The 22,739-nt window shown below is 43.7% G+C and overlaps 1 protein-coding gene across 3 annotated transcripts in view, besides 2 other annotated features; it reads left to right on the plus strand.

Moving 5' to 3' along the window:
- TNN (tenascin N) overlaps positions 1–22,739 on the plus strand; it is an 80,243-nt gene that overhangs the window by 42,594 nt on the left and 14,910 nt on the right. For 2 of the 3 annotated variants that reach the window (NM_022093.2, XM_017002048.2), the window contains exons 10-15: positions 6,513–6,779; positions 8,135–8,398; positions 12,974–13,237; positions 16,529–16,659; positions 17,606–17,738; positions 18,169–18,320. In NM_022093.2, coding sequence (NP_071376.1) covers positions 6,513–6,779; positions 8,135–8,398; positions 12,974–13,237; positions 16,529–16,659; positions 17,606–17,738; positions 18,169–18,320 — 1,211 coding nt within the window. The remainder of the gene's footprint in view (positions 1–6,512; positions 6,780–8,134; positions 8,399–12,973; positions 13,238–16,528; positions 16,660–17,605; positions 17,739–18,168; positions 18,321–22,739) is intronic. The other variant, XM_017002049.2, reaches the window with a different exon arrangement.
- Positions 18,850–19,758: an enhancer, noted in NCBI's record as "OCT4-NANOG-H3K27ac-H3K4me1 hESC enhancer chr1:175098412-175099320 (GRCh37/hg19 assembly coordinates)". NCBI's record gives its function as "activates a minimal SCP1, AML or CMV promoter by ChIP-STARR-seq in naive H9 embryonic stem cells {active_cell/tissue: H9 hESC(naive)}" and the evidence as "EXISTENCE:reporter gene assay evidence [ECO:0000049][PMID:30033119]".
- Positions 19,759–20,665: an enhancer, noted in NCBI's record as "OCT4-NANOG-H3K27ac-H3K4me1 hESC enhancer chr1:175099321-175100227 (GRCh37/hg19 assembly coordinates)". NCBI's record gives its function as "activates a minimal SCP1, AML or CMV promoter by ChIP-STARR-seq in naive and primed H9 embryonic stem cells {active_cell/tissue: H9 hESC(naive and primed)}" and the evidence as "EXISTENCE:reporter gene assay evidence [ECO:0000049][PMID:30033119]".

Here is a 22,739-nt window from a genome sequence, read left to right on the forward strand (position 1 = left end):
CCCAAAATATCTGCCTAGACCAATGTTCTAAAGTGTTTCACCAATGTTTTCTTCTGTAGTTTCATAGTTTCAGGTCTTACATTTAATTCTTTAATCCACTTTAATTTAATTTTTGAATACGGTGAGAAATAGAGGTCTAGTTTTATTCTTCTGCATATGGATATTCAATTTTCCTAGAACTATTTATTGATGAGCCTGTTCTTTCCCCATTGAATGTTCTTGGTTACTTGTCAAAAATCAGTTGGCAGTAAATATGTGGATTTATTTCTGGGTTCTCTATTCTGTTCCATTGTGCCTATGTGTCCGTTTTTATGCCAGGTCCAAGCTGTTTTGGTTACTGTAGCTTTGTAGTACATATTAGAGTCAGCTCATGTGATGCCTCCAGCTTTGTTATTTTTGCTCAGGATTTCTTTGGCTATTTGGGGTCTTCTGTGGTTCCATATGAATTTTAGAATTTTTTTTTCTAGGCTGGGTGCAGTGGCTCATGCCTGTAATCCCAGCACTTTGGGAGGTCAAGGCGGGTGGATCATTTGAGGTCAGGAGTTCAAGACCAGCCTGGCCAACATGGTGAAACCCTGTTTCTACTAAAAATACAAGAAAAAAAAAAAGGGCTGGGTGCGGTAGCTCACGCCTGTAATCCCAGTACTTTGGGAGGCCAAGGCAGGTGGATCACCTGAGGACAGAAGTTCGAGACCAGCCTGGCCAACACGGTGAAACTCCGTCTCTACTATAAATACAAAAATTAGCTGAATGTGGTGGCAGGTGCCTGTAATCCCAGTTACTTGGGAGGCTGAGGCAGGAGAATCGCTTGAACCTGGGAGGCAGAGGTTGCAGTGAGCCAAGATCACACCATTGCACTCCAGCCTGGGCAACAAGAGTGAAACTCCGTCTCAAAACAAAAGCAAAAATAATTAGCTGGGCATGATGGTGCACGCCTGTAATCCCAGCTACTGGGGAGGCTGAGGCAGGAGAATCACTTGAACCCAGGAGATGGAGGTCGCAGTGAGCTGAGATCATGCCACTGCACTCCAGCCTGGGAAACAGAGCGAGACTCTGTCTCAAAAAAAAAAAAAAAAAAAAAAAAAAAAAAGAATTGTTTTTCTAAAGAATGTCATTGATATTTTGATACAGATTGCATTGAATCTATAGATTGCTTTTGGGAGTACAATTTTTTTTACAATATTCTTCCCATTCATAGACATAGGATATATTTCCATTTTTTGGTGACATCTTCAATTTCTTTCATCAGTGTTTTATGGTTTTTCCTTGCAGCGATCTTTCACCTCTTTGGTTAAATTTATTTATGGGTGTGTTTTTAAAAGTAGCTATTGTAAAAGGGATTGCTTCCTTGATTTTTTTTTTTATGCTAGTTCATTGCTGGTATATAGAAACACTACTGATTTTTATATGCTAATTTTGTATCGTGAAACTTTATTGAATTTATCAGCTCTAAGAGTGTCTTGGTGGAGCTTGTTAGGGTTTTCTATATATGAGATCATGTTATCTGCAAACAGGGACAATTTGGCTTCCTCTTTTTCAATTTGGATGCTCTTTATTCCTTTCTGTTGCCTAATTGCTCTGGCTAGGACTTCCAGTACTATGTTGAATAAGAGTGGTAAGAGTGGTCATCCTTGTCTTGTTCTGGTTCTTAGAGAAAAGCTTTCAGTTTTTCCCCAATCAGTGTATTGTTAAATATGGGTTTGTCTTATATGGCCTTTAGAGTGTTGAGGTATGCTTTTTTTATATCTAGCTTGTTTAGGGTTTTTATCATGAAACGTTGTTGAATGTTATCAAATGCTTTTTGCATCTATTGAGATGATATTTTTTTTTATTCTTCATTGTGTTTATGTGATGTGTCACATTTATTGATTTGTGTATGTTAACTATTCTTGCATCCCTGTGATAAATCTCACTTGTATCCTCTTGCTGAATTGATCTCTTTTTCTTTACATAATAACCTCCTTTGCCTCTTTTTATACTTTTGACTTAAAAAATCTGTTTAATCTCATATAAGCATAGCTACTCCTGTTTGCTTTTGGTTTCTGTTTACATGGAATATCTTTTTCCATCCTTTCACTTTGCATCTATATGTGTTTCCACAGGTGAAGGAAGATTCTTGTAGGTAGCACATAAGTGGGTCATTTTTTTAAAGATCCATTCAGCCGGCCGATCTTTTTTTTTTTTTTTTTTTTTTTTTTTTTTTTTTTTTGAGGCAAAGCCTCACTCTGTTGTCCAGGCTGGAATGCAGTGGTGTAATCTCGGCTCACTGCAACCTCTGCTTCTCAGGTTCAAGTGATTCTCCCACCTCAACCCTCCAAGTAGCTGGGACTATAGGCATGTGCCACCATGTCTGGCTAATTTTTTTTTGTATTTTTAGTAGAGACAGGGTTTCACCATGTTGGCTAGGCTGGTCTCAAACTCCTGACCTTCAAGTGATCTGCCTGCCTCGACCTCCCAAAGTGCTGGGATTACAGGCATGAGCCCTATGCCCGGCCTCAGCAAGTCTATCTTTTAAGTGGGGAATTTAATCCATTTACATCCAAGGTTATTATTGATAGGAGAGGAGTGACTCCTGTCATTTGTAAATTGTTTTCTAGATTATTTTGTATATCCTTTGTTAATTTCTTCTTCTATTATTGTTTCTTATTGTGATTTGGTAGGTTTTTGTAGTACTGAGGCTTGATCCTTTTCTTTCTCCTTTGTGTATCTGCTCTGCCAGTGAGTTTATACTTTTCTATGTTCTCATGATTGTGATTATCATCTTTTTGCTTCCAAACGTAGGACTCCCTTGAGCATTTCTTGTAGAGCCAGTTTAGTGGTGATGGATTCCCTCAGTTTTTCCTTTTCTGGGAAAGACTTTGTTTCTCCCTCATTTCTGAAGAATAGACTTGCTGGGTGTGGTATTCTCAGTTGACAGCTTTTTTTCCACCCCTTTCAGATCTTGGGCTATATCATCCCTTTCTCTCCTGGCCTGTAAGATTTCTGCTGAGAATTTTGCTGTTTGTCTAATGGGATTCCCTTATATGTGACCTAACACTTTTCTTTTACTGTTTTTAGAATTTTCTCTTTGTCTTTGACTATTGACAACTTGACTATAATATACTTCAGGAAGGACCTTTTTGGGGTTGAATCTATTTAGGGACTTGAGCTTCCTAGATCTGAATATTCATATCTCTCCCCAGACTTGGGACATTTTCAGCTATTATTTCATTAAGTAGGTTTTCTATACCTTTTTACATCTCTTTTCTTTCTGGAACTCCTGTAATATGAATATTTATTCACTTAATAGTATCCCTTAGGTTTTGTAGGCTTTCTTTACTCTTTTTCATTTTTATTTCTTTTCTTTCTCTCACTGGGTAATGTCAAACAATTTATCTTCAAGTTCAGAGATCCTTTTTTCTGCTTGATCAAGTCTGCTGTGGAAGCTCTTCATTATATTTTTAAATTCCATTCATTGAATTCATTAGCTGTGTTTCTTTTTTGTGATATCTATCTCTTCACTGAATTTCTCATTCATATCATGTATTATTTTTCTGATTTCATCAAATAGTCTATCTGTATTTTTTGAATTTCATTAAGTTTCCTTAAGATCATTATTTTGAATTCCTTTTCTGACAATGTATCGATTTCTTTTTAATTGGGGTCTGTTTCTAGAGAGTTATTATGTTCCTTTGGTGGTGTCATGTTTTCTTGCTTTCTTCATGTTCCTTGTGTCCTTGCATTGAGGTCTGTGTATCTGGTGGAACAATTGCCTCTTCTAAACTTTCTAGAGTGGCTTTCTTAGAGAAATACTTTTACCTCAGTTGAATTTTAATGTGCCAGTTGGGAAGGGTGGTTCACGTAGGTTCGGTGGTATAGTCTTTGTGCAGCTTCTTTGGCTGTGTTTGACATCAGCAATAACTATGGGCATATCAGTGGCCTAGACTACAGAAGTTTGTGGTAGTGGTGGTGGCAGTATAGGTTGTTAATGTCCTTGGTAGCAAGGGCTATTCTATTCTTATTTTCTCCATAATGGGAAGACTTAGCTGAAAGTCTCCCTCTTGGGGTCAGGTCTGACATGGCATAGAAGCAGTTGCCATGACACTGGGTTTCAAGTACAGGTGCTCAAAGCAACTGTGGGGCAAGGTCTTACTTAGGCTCAAGGTCTTGTGAACCTATAGTGGCACTTGAGTCTTGGGATGCAGAGTGATCTCTGTGTCAGGGCTGGATATAGGATGCCTATAGTGCCTAGCAGCTTGGCTTCAGGGGGTCAGTTTGTAACTGTAATTCTACCCCTGATGGGCAGGGTGCAGCCGTGGTTTAACTTGGAGGAAGAAGAAGTGCTCTGGAAGTGTGAGACCAGGTTGCAGGATATGGCTGTAATTGCTGTAATTTGGAAACCTGCACCAATAGAGCTCAGTGGCAACTTGGATCCCTAGGGGTGAGGAATTGTGTAGTGGGGATTCTAAACTCTACAATGGTGGGACTTGGCAGTATCCCAGTCTCTGTAAGGCCAGATGCAGCAGCAGCAAGCATCCCAAAATAATCAAGCACACTGTTTTTTGGGCTGTACCAGGGCAGGGAGCAGCACAACAATGACTCTACTCCCTGGGAGAAGAGTGTCTCAGGAGCTCAGACTCAGGGGGCCTAGTCCAGCTCTAGGGAAGAATAATACTAGAGTTGTCTGGCCAGTAGGGTGGGGTGTCTTAGCCAACCACTGCTGTATTTCCCTGGGACCTAGGGTACTATGTCAGCACAGCCCTAGGACGTGCAGCTGCTCAGCTTGGTTGAGGCACTGATTCCCCAGTGGGCAATGTGCCACTCCAGCTCAGTCCTGAGGGATGTGACTATGCTGGATGGCCTCAACACCATTTTCCTGGGATATAGGGCTCTGCCAAAAGCATTGTTCCCTGGGGAGCTTCCCTGAGGAGCTGAAACTAGTGCAGTTTCAGCTCAGGCCCCTACGAGTAGAGTGCTGCCTAGTGTGACAGAAGTGGATGGAGCTGTTTTACCAAAGTAATGATTCTCCACGAAAGAGCGTGCAGTTTCAGCTCTGGAATGAGTGGGTAGGGGAGGGGGATGTGGAGTCGTTCCACTGCTGCTTGGCCCCATGGGGAAAGGTGTAACAGTTGCTCACAGCTCCGCTTGGAGATGTCAGGTCACTGGGTGGTGGTGTCTCAGCAGCAGTTTACCCTTAGGGATGAAGGGGTGAATGGCTACTCACCCCGAGAGCAAGACACATTCCAACAGTAGCTCCAGTTCCAAGACACCAAGACGGTGTAGTACAATAGCCATGCAGGCCACAGGGGGTGGGGCACAGTGTTGGCTCCATTTCTGAGGGAGCACAGTTGTGTACCTGTAGGCAGCTCCCTCAGCTGGGCTTAGTGCCTCTGAGAGCTGTAGGAGATCCCAGTGGTGAGGACTGTAGGTGTACAAGGTGCTGATAGGGGCTACTGGGATCTTCTTGCTTACGTTTTGCTGTAGGGAGAAGTTCTTCCTGGTTTCCAGCTGCTCTTACCTGGGCAATGGGGTGGTGGGGTCCCAGTGTTTCCTTCTGTTCTCTATGTGGCCATCCTGAGTTTCTGTGCTCACCAGAGTTTCTGTTTCTCCTTTGACAGAATTCTGCACTCTCCTTTAGTTATTTTTTTTTTAAATGTCGTTGTTTATTCTTTTAGTTGTTTTTGTGCAGAAGATGAGTGTCAGGGATTTCTAACTGGCCATCTTGCTGATGTCACACTAGGAGACATGTTATTAGCTCATATAATATTCACAATAACTCTGTAGAATATGTACTAATATTATTTTTCCCTGCCTTTTTTTTCTTGTGGAGAAAATTGAGGCAGAGAGGTAGGTTTGCCCTTAATTATATTTTAAATTATAGAGTAAATATTCTGTGGCTTCAGAGTGGTAAACACTGTAATACTTTAACATTTTCAAAGCCCCTTTGCTACATATCATTTTTTTCTCTTGGTTTACAGAGCTACTCAGAGTGATAAGTGCAATAATCATTAACAACCCCTTGTTACAAATACAGAAGTAAAGCAACTTGCCCCAAGTCACAAAAACAAGTTAGTAAGTTATGAAATTAGTTACATGCATGGAATATTCATGCTTGAATGAACCTTAAAAGTTTATCTAACCCAAACCTCAGATTTTACAGATGAAGAAGCTGAGGCCCAGCCAGGAACAGCTGAACTGTCCGGAGCCACAACTGGCAGATGGCAGAGCTGGGATTAGATTGCTAGTAACCTGGCTCCAACCTGCACCTCTGCTCTGCCTCTCTGGGCTGGAACTAGAACCCAGTGCTTCTGACTTTGGATTTAGTTCTCATACCACTCTCCTGTGCTGCCTTGTTGAAAATCCAAGAATCCAGCTGTGGGGATAAGGTCTATATCCATGAAACAACTGAAAACCAGCATATGATATGGAGAAACCATAAGAACAGGAAACTGCCTTACCACAAGTAAAATGCCCAGATCTCACTCTTTGGTACCAGTTCATAGTGTTCATTGATCAGCAATTTTTTTTTTCAGACATTGACAGCCCCCAAAACCTGGTGACCGACCGGGTGACAGAGAATATGGCCACTGTCTCCTGGGACCCGGTGCGGGCCACCATTGACAGGTATGTGGTGCGCTACACCTCTGCCAAGGACGGAGAGACCAGGGAGGTTCCGGTGGGGAAGGAGCAGAGTAGCACTGTCCTGACGGGCCTGAGGCCGGGTGTGGAGTACACGGTGCACGTGTGGGCCCAGAAGGGGGCCCAGGAGAGCAAGAAGGCTGACACCAAGGCCCAGACAGGTAAGGAGCATTGTTCTTTGGGAATATAAGAGCTTTCATGCTAAGTCAGTGGATGACAAGTTTTGTTTTCCTTCTCTGACATTGGCAGAAGTCAATGATTAATGGAAGAGTGGGATGGCATCCCTTCATAACAGATTGCACACACCATCCCTCATTTTCCTTTAACTAGTTTCCTTGCAAGTCAGGGCCACAAGGCAGTCTCCAAGCTATGATTACATGGTCATGTCCATCAACTCCTCTTCTGATTGCATGGATCTTTTGCTGTAGACAGTATCGAGGGTCTCTTAGTGAGTTTGTGAGTGGGAACAGAAAATGAAAATCAAATTTTGTTAATAATAATAGTATATTGAAAATTTGACTTTAAGAACGTAGATGTCACATCTGCCATAGCAAGGAGATGTATATCATTTGCTTTATGACAAATGAATCACATTATAACTATAAAACATATTTATAACTAGAAATTATGATAAGTTCTATGAAGGAGATGACATGGTGTAGGTATAGAGAATAATGAAGTAGTGATGTTTCTCAGATAGGAAGGGGAAATAGTAATAGGATACACATGGCCAAAACAACCAAATAACAGTTGCTTAAACAAGAAAGGAGCGTATTCCTCTTGTTGAATAGCAGAGTGTACGTTGGCCAGAGTTTTGAGGATAAGGATAGCTCCTACGTTATATTCTTATTTTAGTGGAAGCGATATCTAACCATATTTTGTACAGTGATTTAATCAGCAAACCAGCATGATGAGTGAATCTATGATATGCTAGAGAATATTCAACCAGGGTTTTACTTTTTGCGGATTCCTTTAGTAATATATAGTGAGCATTTTCCACGTGCCCTGCCCACTACTAGGCACTGGGAACACAGGAGAATAGGATGCTGCCCTCTTCCTCCAGGGGCTTACATTTAGAAGTGGCTTTTAGAATCTTCTAGTATGAAATGGGAGGTCTTTACTGACATGATGTGAGACACAAAATTGTTAGTTCCTGGTGAGCAGAGACCATGTCTTTTCCAATTCTGGATTCTGCACACTGTCTAGAACATTTCATGGACAGAGTTGGGGCTTGATATACCCTTACTAGATGAATAAAAGATTTGTTTTGCTAAAGACTTGGTAGAGGTAACAGCCTGGATTCTCAGGTTCTGATCTATTGTGCTTTCTACTTGAGGAGCCAGGTATATCTTGGGGGAGAAGATGATGTCCATGAAACAGCTAAAAATGAAACAAGAGCATATGAGGCGGAAACCCCACACAACATGAAAGGGTTTCACCCCACGCAAAATGACCACCAGTTTCTGCACTCTGGCACCTGTTCATAGTGCATATTGGTCAGCATTTTTTTTTTCAGACATTGACAGCCCCCAAAACCTGGTCACTGACTGGGTGACAGAGAATACAGCCACTGTCTCCTGGGACCCGGTGCAGGCCACCATTGACAGGTATGTGGTGCACTACACGTCTGCCAACGGAGAGACCAGGGAGGTTCCAGTGGGGAAGGAGCAGAGCAGCACTGTCCTGACGGGCCTGAGGCCGGGCATGGAGTACACGGTGCACGTGTGGGCCCAGAAGGGGAACCAGGAGAGCAAGAAGGCTGACACCAAGGCCCAGACAGGTAATAGAAGTGAAGAGAAGAGCAAACCCGGGTAGTAGCTGCAGGTTGATCTATTGCAGCTGAGTGATGATGCAGCTGCTTTTGGCATCTGTAACCTCAGGGCTGCAGACTGTTTTAGGAGAGTTTGCTGTAAAAACAAAACAAAACAAAAACAAAAAACAAACAAAGAAACAAAAAACTTTCATTCACCCAAAGAAAGAACAACGTGTTATAGGAAAGGCGTCCCGATCCAGACCCTTAGAAAGGGTTCTTGGATCTTGTGCAAGAAAGAGTTCAGGGTGAGCCCATAGAGTAAAGTGAAAGCAAGTTTATTAGGAAAGTAAAGGAATAAAAGAATGGCTACTAGCCATGGGCAGAGCAGCCCTGAGGGCTTGTGGTTGTCCATTTTTATGGTTATTTCTTGAAGATATGCTAAACAAGAGGTGGATTATTCATACCTCCCCTTTTTAGACCATATAGGGTGACTTCCTGACATTGCCTTGGCATTTGTAAACTGTCATGGCACTGGTGGGAGTGTAGTAGTGAGGATGACCAGAGGTCACTCTCATTGCCATCTTCGTTTTGGTGGGTCTTGGCCGGCTTCTTTACTGCAGGCTGTTTTAACAGCACGGTCTTTATGACCTGTATCTTGTGCTGACCTCCTATCTTATCCTGTGACTTAGAATGCCTTAACCATCTGGGAATGCAGCCCAGTAGGTTTCACCCTTATTTGACCCAGTTCCTATTCAAGATGGAGTTTCTCTGGTTCAAGCATGTCTGACAAAACTATAGTAATGGACCCAGTGGGAGCAGTCCCATGAATGCCTTTTTTTTCTTTTTTTTTTTTTTTTGAGACAGTCTTGCCCTGTCGCCCAGGCTGGAGTGCAGTGGCGCTATCTCGGCTCACTGCAAGCTCCGCCTCCCGGGTTCATGCCATTCTCCTGCCTCAGCCTCCCAAGTAGCTGGGATTACAAGCGCCCGCCACCATGCCCGGCTAATTTTGTTTTTGTATTTTTAGTAGAGACGGGGTTTCACCGTGTTAGCCAGGATGGTCTCAATCTCCTGACCTCGTGATCCGCCTACCATGGCCTCCCAAAGTGCTGGGATTACAGGCATGAGCCACTGCGCCTGGGCCCATGAATGTCTTAAAACTCTTTCCAAAGCCTGTGTTTTTAATCATTGTGTCTCTCAGCTATAGGAAATAATGTAAAACCAATATAAAATTCTTAAAACCACTGATTAAAAACCTGTTTTGTGGCAAGCTATTTTGTATAGGTTTGACCGAATAGACGCTGTGTGATAGAAAGGAGCAAGTATTCACCTGGGTGGCTGGAGCCCTGTTTCCTTGCAGTAGGCAGCTGACTTTTAATGAGCATCATCTAAGTGCCAGGCCTGGGGAACACAGTGGTGAACAAAACAAATATCTCTACTCTCTTGAAGTCTAGAGTGAAGATAGACAATAAATAAGAAAACACATTTAAAACCGTAAATTATGCTAAATTCTGTGAAGGAGATGAACATGGTGTAGGTATAGAGAATTACAGGGTAAGGATGTCTTGCAGATGGGAAGGGTGAGTAGTAATAGGATATACATAGACAGAAACACTCAAATAACAGTTGCATCAGCAGGAATGGAGTGTATTCCTCTCTGTAGAATGTCCAGGGCTGATACGGTAGCTCCTCGTCCAGGAGACCCAGGCTTCTTCTGTGATTGTTGCTTAGTCATCCCTAGCAATTTGCCCTCCTTTACCTGGTCACCACCCTGTCTGCATTGTAGCCAGTGGGAAGAGGCATGATGAAAGTCAGGGCATCACTGGGACATTGCACATATCAGCCCTTCTCATGTTCCATTGCCAGGTCCCAGACAGACCTCACTGCAAAAAAGGCTAGGAAATGAGGTCTTTAGCTGGATGGCCCTGTGCCCAGCTTTACTTTGGTTATGCTGTCCTGACCAACACAGCAGCTGCTAGCTACATGTAGCTATTAAAATTATTTTTATTTTTATTTTATTTTCAGAGACAGGGTCTCATTCTGTTAGCTAGGCTGGAGTACAGTGGTATGATCACAGTTCACTGCAGGCTTGACCTCCCGGGCTCAAGCCATCCTCCCACCTTAGCTTCCCAAGTAGCTGGGACCATAGGCACGTGCCACTAAACCTGTAATTTTTTATTTCTTTTAGAGATGGGGTCTCACTGTGTTGAACTCCTGGGCTCAAGTGATCCTCCTGCCTCGGCTTCCCAAAGTGCTGGGATTACAGGCATGGGTCACTATGCCCAGCCTAAATTTTAATTAATTAAAAATAAAATAAAAATATTTTCTCATTTGGATTAGCCACATTTCAAATGGTCAGTAGCCACATGTGACTAATGGCTACGGTATCGGACTGTGCCGATTATAGAATACTTTCATCATTGCAGAGAGATCTGTTGGACAGTAAGTGTGCTTACAGAAGAAGGGGGAGAATGGATTTTGGCAAAAACTAGCCATTTCTGGCAAACGGAAGAGTATGTGTGATGTCCCCCAGCTGGAATAGTACCTGGGATGGTTGGAGAATGAAAAGAGGCCAGTTTTGCTGGAGCATAGAGGGTGGAAGAGCAAGTGGCCTGAGATGAGGCGGGAGGAGCAGGGGCAGATCAGCCAGGACCATGTGGTACTTAGAGGACAAAATGGGCTATACTTATTAATACTAGAAGAGTGATATGATGCAGTGTTCATTTAAAAAACATTTTCCAGGCCACAGTGAGGAGAATAAATGGAGAAAATGACAAGGATAGAAGTTGGGAGGTTCGTAGGGAAGCTGCTAGAAAAGTCTGGGTGCAAAATGCTGCTTGTCTAGGTAAGCATGATGGCAAAAGGGACAGAGAAGAGGGGATGTCTGGAATATATTTTTGAGGTATGGATGATAATACCTGTTGATAGATGTGGGGTAGGAAGAAAATGAGGACTCAAGTATGACCTGTGTTTTTTATTTGAGCAACATGGGAGATTGGACTACCATTTCTTGAGAGGGGAGACTGAGAAATAAAAAGTTTGGGGAGAAGCATCAAGACTTTTAAATATTTAAGTTCAAGATACTTGTGAGATTCCTTGGTTAATTGAGTGATTCATTTATTGATTACATAAATATTTATTGAGTGTCTAATACAGGCCAGGCACCGTGGTGGAGATGCAGTTGTATAAACTAGTCAGGGGCTCAGAATTAATAGATATTGTGGAGCGATTAGCATCCAGTTGGTATTTAAAGCCATGGGCATGAGTGAGATCACCTAGGTGGAAAAGTACAGAGAGGAAAAGAGGGAGCTTTGGGACAGGTGCAGTGACTCTCACCTGTAATCCCAGAACTTTTGGAGGCTGAGGTAGGTGAATTGCTTGAGCTCAGGAGTTCAAGACCAGCCTGGTGAAATCCTGTCTTTACAAAAAAAAAAAATACAAAAATTGGCTGAGTGTGGTGGCATGCACCTGTATTCCCAGCTACTCTGGAGGCTGAGGTGGGAGGATTGCTTGAGCCTGGGAGGTCAAGGCTGCAGTGACCTATGATGGCACCACTGCTCTCCAGCTTGGGTGAAAGACCGAGACTCTGTATCAACAAAACAAAACAAAACACAACAAATAACAGAGAAAGGGAGCTTTGGGTGCTCCAGTGTTTGAAGGTTGCTAACAAAGGACTGAAGAAGAGCCAGTGAGTTAGGAAAATCAAGGGAGTATGTAGTCATGGAAGCCAAGGGTTGAGAGTGTTTCAAGAAGGAAGGAGTGGATCAGCTCTGCCAAATGCCACCCAGAAGCAGTGTAAAGTTGAGAATGGCAAGTATGCATTAGATGTGGCAACACGGATGTTGTTGGTGACTTAGACTAGCAGATTTAGTTGTGTGGCATAGAAAGATGCAAACAGGATTGATTGGAGAGTGAGCAGTGAAGTTAAGGTATGTAGACATTTCTCTTGAGACAATCTGTCAGTTTAAGGTTGCAGAGAAATGGAATGATACGGGAGAGGATGGGGGATTCTAGACCTTGCTTGTCTGGGACTGATGACAGAGAAGAAGAGATTGATGACACAGGAGAGAAAGGGCAGATCTGCAGCAAAGTCCTTGAGAGGGTGGGAAGGCCTAAAATTCAGAGCGAAGAGTCTTGGCTTTAACATAAGATGTCAACAGGAACTTGGCCTAGACCTTCCATTTCCCTGGGCCTCCATTCTCCTCCCCTTTTATAAGTCGGAAAGGTTGGAGGATATGACTTCTTGGCTCTCAAATTCTGTGAAACAAAATAACTAGATACCAGGGAGATCAGAAAAGAGGTTATATCCACAGCAGTTTTGGTGGCTTATCTTGTTGCTCAGGAAGTTTTATTGTTATTTTGATGAGAATTACAAGGACAGAAATTTTTTATATTAAAAAGTGGGAGATGATCTGATTCCTTCCAGTTTTATATCCAGTGGTTTGTTTCCTTGGAAATGGAGACCAGGGGCCTTTGACTCGTGTTTTAAGTGGAATTCTACCATTATTAATGATAACATGATGGAGAGCTCCTGGTGATGAGGTGGTAAGATGCGATGTCTTCCTTTGTTCTAAAGTTCAGCCTTTTCTAAATCTTTTTAAAAAGAAATTGACGGCCCCAAAAACCTAGTGACTGACTGGGTGACGGAGAATATGGCCACTGTCTCCTGGGACCCGGTTCAGGCCACCATTGACAAGTACATGGTGCGCTACACCTCTGCTGACGGAGAGACCAGGGAGGTTCCGGTGGGGAAGGAGCACAGCAGCACTGTCCTGACGGGCCTGAGACCAGGCATGGAGTACATGGTGCACGTGTGGGCCCAGAAGGGGGCCCAGGAGAGCAAGAAGGCTGACACCAAGGCCCAGACAGGTACTGAGAGGGACCAGGCCAGGGGAACACCTCACACTTATCAGGAGAGAACCTTCCTCCATCAGTGGGCTGGGGAGGGGAGCAGGAGGGTGGTTGCTTTACCCGAGGACATTCTTCAAAGTGGTTCCTTTTTTACGTCTTTGAGCTAATTAAGTTGACACAACAGCTCAGATAAGATGAGAGAGTATAGAGGGAGTGAGTGCTGGTGTCAAAGGTGGCCTCCCTCACCCCTCCACCCGGCCCAGCGCTCAGAATCTCCACACTTGCTATGGAGAAAATGGTTGGGCCTCAGCTGCAGTTGGGAGAAGACAGAGGCAGGAGCCTCTTCTGTTTCCATCTTCCAGAATGGAGGCAATGGGGATGCATCTTTCTCCATTCCATCCTCAGTTGATGATGAAAGGTGCCTGAATTGCATGTATTTTGTGTGTGTGATGGGGCCTCTGATCTTGGCAGAGCATCACTGAGGTCAGAACCCAGAGGCACTTGGAAGAGAGCACTGTGCCCACCCTGAGGTCTATGAGCCTCTTCTGGCAGTACGGGCAAGGTCTGTCCATTCCATCCATGGCTGAGCGCACCAAGTGTTGCCACGGGACCTAGAGATGGCTTGAATTTCTCTATGGTTTTTATTAGTTAAAATTAGCTTGCATTTTTAATCTAAAAAGTAATATATGCTTATAGTAAATATTTTCAAACTAAATAGAGACGTGTTAAAACAAAACAAAACAAAACAAAAACGGCCAGGCGCGGTGGCTCATGCCTGTAATCCCAGCCCTTTGGGAGGTCAAGGCTGGTGGATCACCTGAGGTCAGGAGTTTGAGACCAGCCTGACCAACATGGAGAAACCCCGTCTCTACTAAAAATACAAAAATTAGCTGGGTGTGGTGGCAGGTGCCTGTAATCCCAGCTACTTGGGAGGCTGAGACAGGAGAATTGCTTGAACCCAGGAGGAGGAGGTTGCAGTGAGCCAAGATTGCGCCATTGCACTCCAGCCTGGGCAACAAAGAGCGAGACTCCATCTCAAAAGCAAACAAACAAACAAACAAACAAACAAACTCCTCTCTCTGTCCTGGACTCCCTAGTATGCAGGGTTGCTCTCCAGATGCAACCAGTAGCCAGTTCTCCCTTCTTCCCTCTTTCCCACTTCCTACCTCCTTCTCCCCTTCCTTTCTCTGTTCCTTTCTCTCTTATTCCTTTCTTCTCCTCTTCCTTGTTTATCTTCTCTTGGGTTCACCTTCTCCATTTTTGAAGACAGCAATAAAAAGATTCTCATTTTCCTGCTTCATAGAAATGTGAAAGTAACTAAGACAGACATCTCAAGTCCATAACCAGGGAGTGGTGGGCAGTCAAAGAGGTGGCAGGAGATTGCTTAAGATGTTAAAATAGCCACAGTTTTGCCTTGATTGTGAAATCAGGAAATTCAGTTTTTCTGTGAGACGAATAGAATAAAATCCATGCCAGATGTTATGCTTTAGAAAATCAAACCAAGTTGATATTACAGAAACTCAAAATTTGTCAAAACATCCTAATTCAAAACAACAGCTGTCTGATTTCTATTAAAATACTGCAATTCAGCTCTCAGCTGAAATGCTACTGGGTAGAAAATAGCCTGGAGACGTCTTTTTGGGAAGTTATAAATTAAAATAACCTTCTATGATAATGCTTTTTCAAAAGAGAAATTTCCATTCATATCTTCTTTGGTTAAAAAAAAAAAGAGCCTTCTGACCAGTGATGTTGACCAGTATTTTTGCTGAGCTTCTGTTTTCCTGGTCTACAGTGCACACTTGCTTACCCACGCGTTCCCTCTAGTGTTTGGGTGAGGAAGTACATAGAAGAAGAGCTCTGCTTTTCCTATATCCCTTCTCTTTCCCTCTTCCCTCCCCCACCTCTTCCTTTCTTCTCTTTTCCTTCCTTCTCTCTCTCTCCCTCTTTCTTTCTCTTTCTTTCTTTCTCTCTCTCTCTCCCTTTCTCTCTTCTTTTCTCTCTCTCCTTCCTTCCTTCCTTCTCTCCCTCCCTCCCTCCTTTCTTTCTCTCTTTTTTCTCTCTTTCTTTCTTTCTTTCTTTCTTTCTTTCTTTCTTTCTTTCTTTCTTTCTTTCTCTCTCTCTCCCTCCCTTTCTCTCTTCTTTTCTCTCTCTCCTTCCTTCCTTCCCTCCCTCCCTCCTTTCTTTCTTTCTTTTTTCTTTTTCTTTCTTTCTTTTTTCTTTTTCTTTCTTTCTTTTCTTTTTTTCTTTCTTTCTCTCTCCCGCTCTCTCTCTCTTCTCTTTCTTTCTTTCTCTCGCTTCTCTCCCTTTCTTTCTTTCCTTCTCTCTCTCTCTCTCTCTCCTCTATACAAGCACCTGTTCCCTTGCCTTCTCCTTCTCTTCTTTCTCTACTGGGTATGCATCTAAGGCCACACACTTCAATATGTAACAGTATGTAAGAAACATAACTTTTTGTTTCTTTCTTTTTTTTTTTTTTTAAGACAGAGTCTTGCTCTGTCACCCAGGCTGGAGTGCAGTGACGTGATCTTGGCTTACTGCAACCTCCGCCTCCCGAGTTCAAGCAATTCTCCTGCCTCAGCCTCCCGAGTAGCTGGGATGACAGGCGACCACCACCATACCCGGCTAATTTTTGTATGTTTGGTAGAGATAGGATTTCATCATATTGGCCAGGCTGGTGTCGAACTCTTGACCTTGTGATCCGCCTGCCTTGGCCTCCCGAAGTGCTGGGATTACAGGCATGAGCCACCGTGCCTGGCCAACTTTTTGTTTCTATGCCAACTTAATTTCAATCATAAGCCCATATTCTACTTAGGGTAAGCTCCTTCCTCAGGGCTGTATGTAAGTCTTGGGTAGTTTCCCAGTGACAGGCATTGGGGCCCATCCAGCATTTCAGGCAACTTTCCAGGCGGGCCAAGTCACCCTGGTTTCTTTGTGCATGGCCCTTTCAGATCTGTGGCCCTCTTATCTTTCCACATCCTTTTGGGAGCCCTGCCATCTCTGAGGATCTATCTGCCAATCTAGGCTGTTAATATCCACCACTTTGTGGGAACCTGCCTGGGAAATGGGGGCCCAGATTCCTTTCCTCTGGGACCCACCCAACGCCCTGTTCTTCTTGTCTCTAATGGGTCTGTACTTGTAGAAACAAAGGTCAGAAAGGCCCTGTGGCAGGGAGGAAGAGAGCCTGCAAACTGCTTGAAAGAAGGAGGAGAAATGGGAGGGTTTGAAAAGGGGAAAATATAAACTGATGTCTCAAAAATTACCTTGCCTCAGTTGTATCTTAGTAATAACAATTACCTGACTTTCTACGTACAGAACTCGACCCTCCCAGAAACCTTCGTCCATCTGCTGTAACGCAGTCTGGTGGCATATTGACCTGGACGCCCCCCTCTGCTCAGATCCACGGCTACATTCTGACTTACCAGTTCCCAGATGGCACAGTTAAGGTACGGGGATTCCTTGTCTTTTCTCCTGGTGCCTTCTCTTCTGTGTGAAGCAACTAACTTGGGCCAATCAGCTCATTTGCTGGCCTCACGGCAACTTGCTGATCTTTACTGATCACATTGCTGGTTGTACATCTGCCCCGGGTTATTTTGTTTATTGTTAGTCTTCCCCAATAAATGTAAGCTCTATGTTTGTCTGTTTCATTTATCACCATATCTAAAGTGCATAGGACAGTGCTTAGCACATGGTAGGTGTTCGATATATATTTATTGAACAAATTGATTAACCCTTATTTCAAGGGTTATACCTCCCCTTAGAATCTGAAGGCCAGCAAATTTTCAAAACCTGTCCCAATGGAAAATTATTATTCTCCCTCCTTGCCAATGAAGAAAGAAGGGAGGAAATAAAAACAGGAAGGACACTTAGGTTTATGTGTTACCTTAATTAGTGCTTATGACAGCACAGCTAGGAAGGTTAGCCCTATGTTTATAGAGGAAGTAAGACTGGTTCAGAAGGAAGTTTATTGAAATATCAACTATCTCCTTGTCTCAGATATCAGTGGCCAGTTTCACCTCCCCTATTAATTTCTCCTTAGCGCGGCATTGCCAGCCTGTTCCTGCTGGCAATGTAGCCACTATAGTTAGAGCCCCTGTGTGTATCTGAAGGCCAAAGTCTCCCAGAAACTTGGCCGGTGATCCTGAAGCTGCAGTCCTGGGTGCTGGTTCTCAGCTGATGCTCCCAGTAGTGCTGACTCTCCATGGCATGGCTCTCCAGAGAAGTGGCTGGGACCCACTGCGATTCTGGGCTGCCACTGAGGCTTCGGAGAGACAAAACACTGTGCTCTCAGAGAGCTTCTGTCATTAGCACCAGGGAACGCTGTTGACACCTAGGGTGCTAGTGGGTGATAAACTGAGTCACTGGCTGTCTAATCTCTCCCTTGTTTGGTAGGAGATGCAGCTGGGACGGGAAGACCAGAGGTTTGCGTTGCAAGGCCTTGAGCAAGGCGCCACCTACCCTGTCTCCCTTGTTGCCTTTAAGGGTGGTCGCCGGAGCAGAAATGTATCCACCACCCTCTCCACAGGTAATATGGAATCCTGTACTCTGAACGACCGTGCAATGAGAACCAGCACCGGAAAGCCTAGCAAAGGAGTCCAGGGAGGAGCAAGTGGATGCAGAACTATTGATTTCTCTAGGCATGGGGAAGTGGAAATGGGGTTGTGTGTTCAAAAGAAATCCACCCCACAGTGGGGAGGCTAAAGAGAGGAGTGAAATAGAGTGTTACTTTGTGAGGGAGCTGAGTTGGGGGAGGAAGTGATGTGAACTTGACCTTTTCCTGGTGCATTTGGGGAGTTGATGAGAAAAATAAGATATGAGTGAAGAGTTGGAAGAAGCTGAAGTAGGAAGTTATGAAATAATTTCCAAACAAAATAAATTGCCTTAAAATAGGAAGAAACTCCACCTCTTTCCTCCTTGCCCTTGTCCTAACAACACTCTCTCTGCTTGGCTCCCAGTTGGTGCCCGTTTCCCACACCCTTCGGACTGCAGTCAGGTTCAGCAGAACAGCAATGCCGCCAGTGGTCTGTACACCATCTACCTGCATGGCGATGCCAGCCGGCCCCTGCAGGTGTACTGTGACATGGAAACGGACGGAGGTGGCTGGATTGTGAGTCACGCAGAACCCTGGGGAGCTCTGTGTAGGGCCTTCCTTCTCAGCCCAGGATGCCGGTCATGGATGCTCCATAGAGTGTTTGGAGCCCTATTTCTTCTCCACCCATGGAAGAGAGGAGTTTTGGTGGCTTGTAGCTGTTTTTAGAGAGATCCCAATGTTACAGGAAAGGGGTCCCCATCCAGATCCCAAGAGAAGGTTCTTGGATCTCATGTAAGAAAGAATTCAGGGTGAGTCCACAATGCAAAGCAAAAGCAAGTTTATTAAGAAAGTAAAGTGGTGAAAGTACAGCTACTCCATAGACAGAGTAGGGCGTTTCTGAAAGTAAGGAGGAATGCATGCACCCTATGTACAAGACTTGTTTATATATAGGATAAAAAAAGATCATGAGGGGATGTGCTCTATTACAATGGTTCGTGATAAAGGATTAATTTTCTTAATTACTATATTTTGCGAGAATCAATATTATTATATTTAAAGCAACATTAGGAGTGCTTCTGTTCTCAAGATATCAGGACATTCCTAAGTCTGGGTCTGTTTAGTAAACACTGTCAATCTGTTCCCTTAACCATAAACATCTGGAGGCTAGGAATACCTAACTTTCTGGGAATGCAGCCCAGCAAGTCCCAGCCTCATTGTCTTAGCACTCACTCAAGATGGCTCTGGTTCAAATGCCTCTGACACCAATCAACTGTAAGGATAGAGCCTAGTACTTAACCACTGTCCTAGAACAGGCTTGGTTAGACTAAGGCTGATGACTATGAAGGCTTGTGAGTTGATCATCATCTAGTAATGCCTTATATGTATGTATTACCTATATTTTACCTTCTTCAAAGCACTTCTGTACACATGACCCTCACACAACAGCTTTAGAGTAAGTGAGAGAGGATTGTTTTTCTTATTTTACAGATAGGGACAGTGAGTCCCACAGAAAGAAGTGCCTGGCCTAAGTCATACAAGAATGACAAAGCTGGGACCAGATTTCAAAACTCCAGCCTCCTAATCATTGGTCTTCTCAGTGAGTTCATCTCAGGTCATCCAAGATGCGAATGCATAGCCTGACTGGGGAGTTCAGACCTCTGAACTGGAGTCCATTGTCCAAGTTCTGTACCCTGTCTCCACAGTACAGCAACAAGGCCTTTGAGGTTTTGATTGGAAAGACTAAAGTCTGAAAGACGGAAACTTGGGCAATGCTCTAATTGTCCCTCTTCTGTGTAGATGTTTTATTCTCTTGGGCCATTGTCTGCCTAAACCACATGGCAGCTTCTTTGATTGCATCAGCCTGATCCAATTATATGATAAGCTGTTTTTGAGGGTTGCAATCTGATCCTTCCATCTCCCCTTGCCCCTTTTCTCCCTGTGCCTGAATGATAAAGACTCTCACTGCTCCAAGCCAGCATGCAGCCTTAACCTGCTGTGCATCCGCAACTCACTGTGGGAAAGAGAGAGCATGATCTCATAGTGCTCAAACCTTATTCATTTACACATTCACTCAGGGGCCTGGGAAACCAAAGACACTTGAGCAGCCATGAATAAAAAGATACCATCTGATGAGCAGCAATGAAGAAAACTTATTATCTGCACAGCGACATCTGACGGTTGAAAGGCAGTAATTGGATTGGCTGGGGGAAATTCCCGATTGATTTATAAAAACAACAGAGCAGAATGTAACATGGGAGGTCTTCCACCTGACCAGACCCATAGGGCTGTACCTGCTGCTTTTCATCAGCACCATTGTAAGGCTAAGCATTCTGTCCCTTCAGGCCTGCAGCCCAATTTCCTGCCTTTGTGCCTGTAATTGACTTTTGGCAGGACGTTTGTATTGTCTAGTGTGGCCTTTTTGTAAGCCAAGCTCCCACACAGAAGGAGTTATCTGGGGCAACATTTAGAAAGAGATCTGTCAGTCTGTCTGCCCTGGAATAGTCATGACTTATTGCACATATATTTATTGAGTGCCTACTATGTGTCGGCACTGCTTCATGTACTCAAGATCCAGCAGTGAACCAAACCAACAGAAATCCCTGCCCCCAAGGAGCTTGCCATTTACATCCTGCTCATGCAAATGACCCCTCCTCAAACACAGAGATCGGTTCCAAAAATAATAAAACCACTGTGCATTCTCACCCTCCCCAGCCCCAACCCCACCCCAAGTCTTGTTTTCTGAGCCAGACTCCTGGGGGTCATGCATGAACTGAGGTTCTGCAGGGTTTTACTTAAAGCCACCATGCTCCAGAAAACATGGAGTCCTGAAAACTTCCCCACAAAACATTTTACTGACAGTTGTTACAGTTTTTTTGGGGGGGTTCAAGAGTCCTTTGTCACTGAAGGATGACCCATGGTCTGTTTCTCTGTTTTATTGAGCTTTCAAAATCCTTTTATGGTAATTCTTCCATCCCAAGCAACAGGAACTCAATCTGAAGAATAGGCCAGAAGAACTGTGCCCTGAGGTAAACTCTGCCGCTGGTGGGAGGCTGGAAAGAACATCAGGGAACACTTAATGTTTCAAATATTTCCATCTTTGTTTTCCATCTTGAAAGTCTTAATGCATTAGAGGCTCTTTCCACAGACATTTCAATGCAAGTTTGACTTTTTTTCTCTGTATTTAGTCATTCAGGGCATTGAGTAAGTTCTAGAATGCAATGACAACTCTAGTATAGAACCAGACACAAAGAGGTTTCTTTTGTTTGTTTGTTTTTCTCCCTTTGAAACTTATTTGGTAAGGGGGTTTTGTGATACCCAAATAGTTCATTATAGGGTGTTTTCATCTCATAGAATGGGAGTGGATTAGACTCTGAGTGAGTCAATTAAGGCTGCCTGATCAAGATGTATAAATGATCCCTGTGGGTCAGTTCATTTGGAAACTGATATAATAAAATGCAAACTAACATTTATTGAGAGATCATAATAACTTATTATATCTATATATGCCAGGGTCTGGCTTAACTACTTTATGATTTACTATGATTAATGATCTTGCCGAAGCCTTGATTTAAGATCGTGACGGAGAGGCTGTTAACATCTTAATCTAACAGTTTAGAAAAGTGAGGCTTGTCAAGGTTGCCCAAAGACACAACTAGTAAGTATAGAACTGGTTCTGGTTCAAAACAGTGATGCAAAGAGCACCAGAATCATTTTTGGAAGCTTCCCTGGCCCAGATGAAGTATTATTACACACACACACACACACACACACACACACACACACACATCGCTGGAAAGCTCCTATCAAGCTTGGGCACTGGGTTCACTGATAGGAGATAGAGACCAAATACCTTTGTAATGCATTCTAGGGGGGCAGGGTTGGATTTGAGCCTGACCTTGTGGTGGGAACGTGATTTGACACGATGTATGTGGAGCCATACATCGGTGCTACATGTATCCTAAAATTCCACTGTCCTTGGTACAACAAGAGTCCCAAGGAAGGGGTTGGACCAGGCACCTTGCTAGGAAATTAGCAAGTTCTCAGAGTCTTTGAAAATTCGATTTGGGAAACAGATTCAGTAGGGCTGGTATTTTCAAACTTTCTGACAGAAAGATAAGATTTATGCGTGGTCTTTGTATCAGTGATTAGCTGTAGGACTCTGGATACTCGCTTTTCTGGACTTTCACATCTGTCAAATGGCATCATAAATACTTGCTCCAGGGCCAGCACTCACGAAATGATTGTCGTCTAAGTGAATAAATGAGTGAAGAAAAGTGAGGGAAGCCAAGAAGGAAATAGGGCATTTTTAAAAGATGGATACTTGAGCAAAGGGGAAAGAGAACAACAATGTTAATGTGGTGTTAGCTGTTTGCCGTGATATTTCCTACATTCTGTTCAGTAGCTCTTGCCTATTTATAGAACATTTTTATGTGGTGTCTCATTTAGTCCTCCCAGAAGTCTTATGAAGTAGGCTCTTCTCTTCCCTTCCATTCCTGTTTTACCATGAGCTGGCTGAGGGTCAGCAATAGAAGAGGCTGCCTCAGCAATCCCCACCCATCCCCTGCCCAGGAAGTGGCTGTGGTCTGACTTGGAGTCTGGAGCCTTCTGCATCCATGGTGCCCCACTCCTTGGCCAGCAGACATGAATGGGTGCTTTGGAAGGAGTTAAATATGCACTCCCATGTGGAGCTTTCAGCATTGCTGCAGGGTAACCTACTCTCTCTTCCCGGAGAAAAATATAAAGAAGGCACAAATATCAGGTGGTTTACCTTATAAATTCAAGATAATGTGTTTTACTTCAAGGCACATGCTGTGAAGTCTAGTGGAAAGGAGGGAGATTAGATTTTGTGTTGGGGCTTCTGCATCTGAATGAATGCAAAGAAAAATAGGCAGAGAGAGAAATGCAATTCTAGCCTTTGGTTAGTGGGAATCATTCCTGAGGTTAGCTAGGATGGCATTCAGCTTGGCTCTCAAGGTCATGTGGAATTAGATGTAT

This window comes from Homo sapiens, chromosome 1, assembly GCF_000001405.40.
Source record: "Homo sapiens chromosome 1, GRCh38.p14 Primary Assembly".
Taxonomy (NCBI): domain Eukaryota; kingdom Metazoa; phylum Chordata; class Mammalia; order Primates; family Hominidae; genus Homo; species Homo sapiens.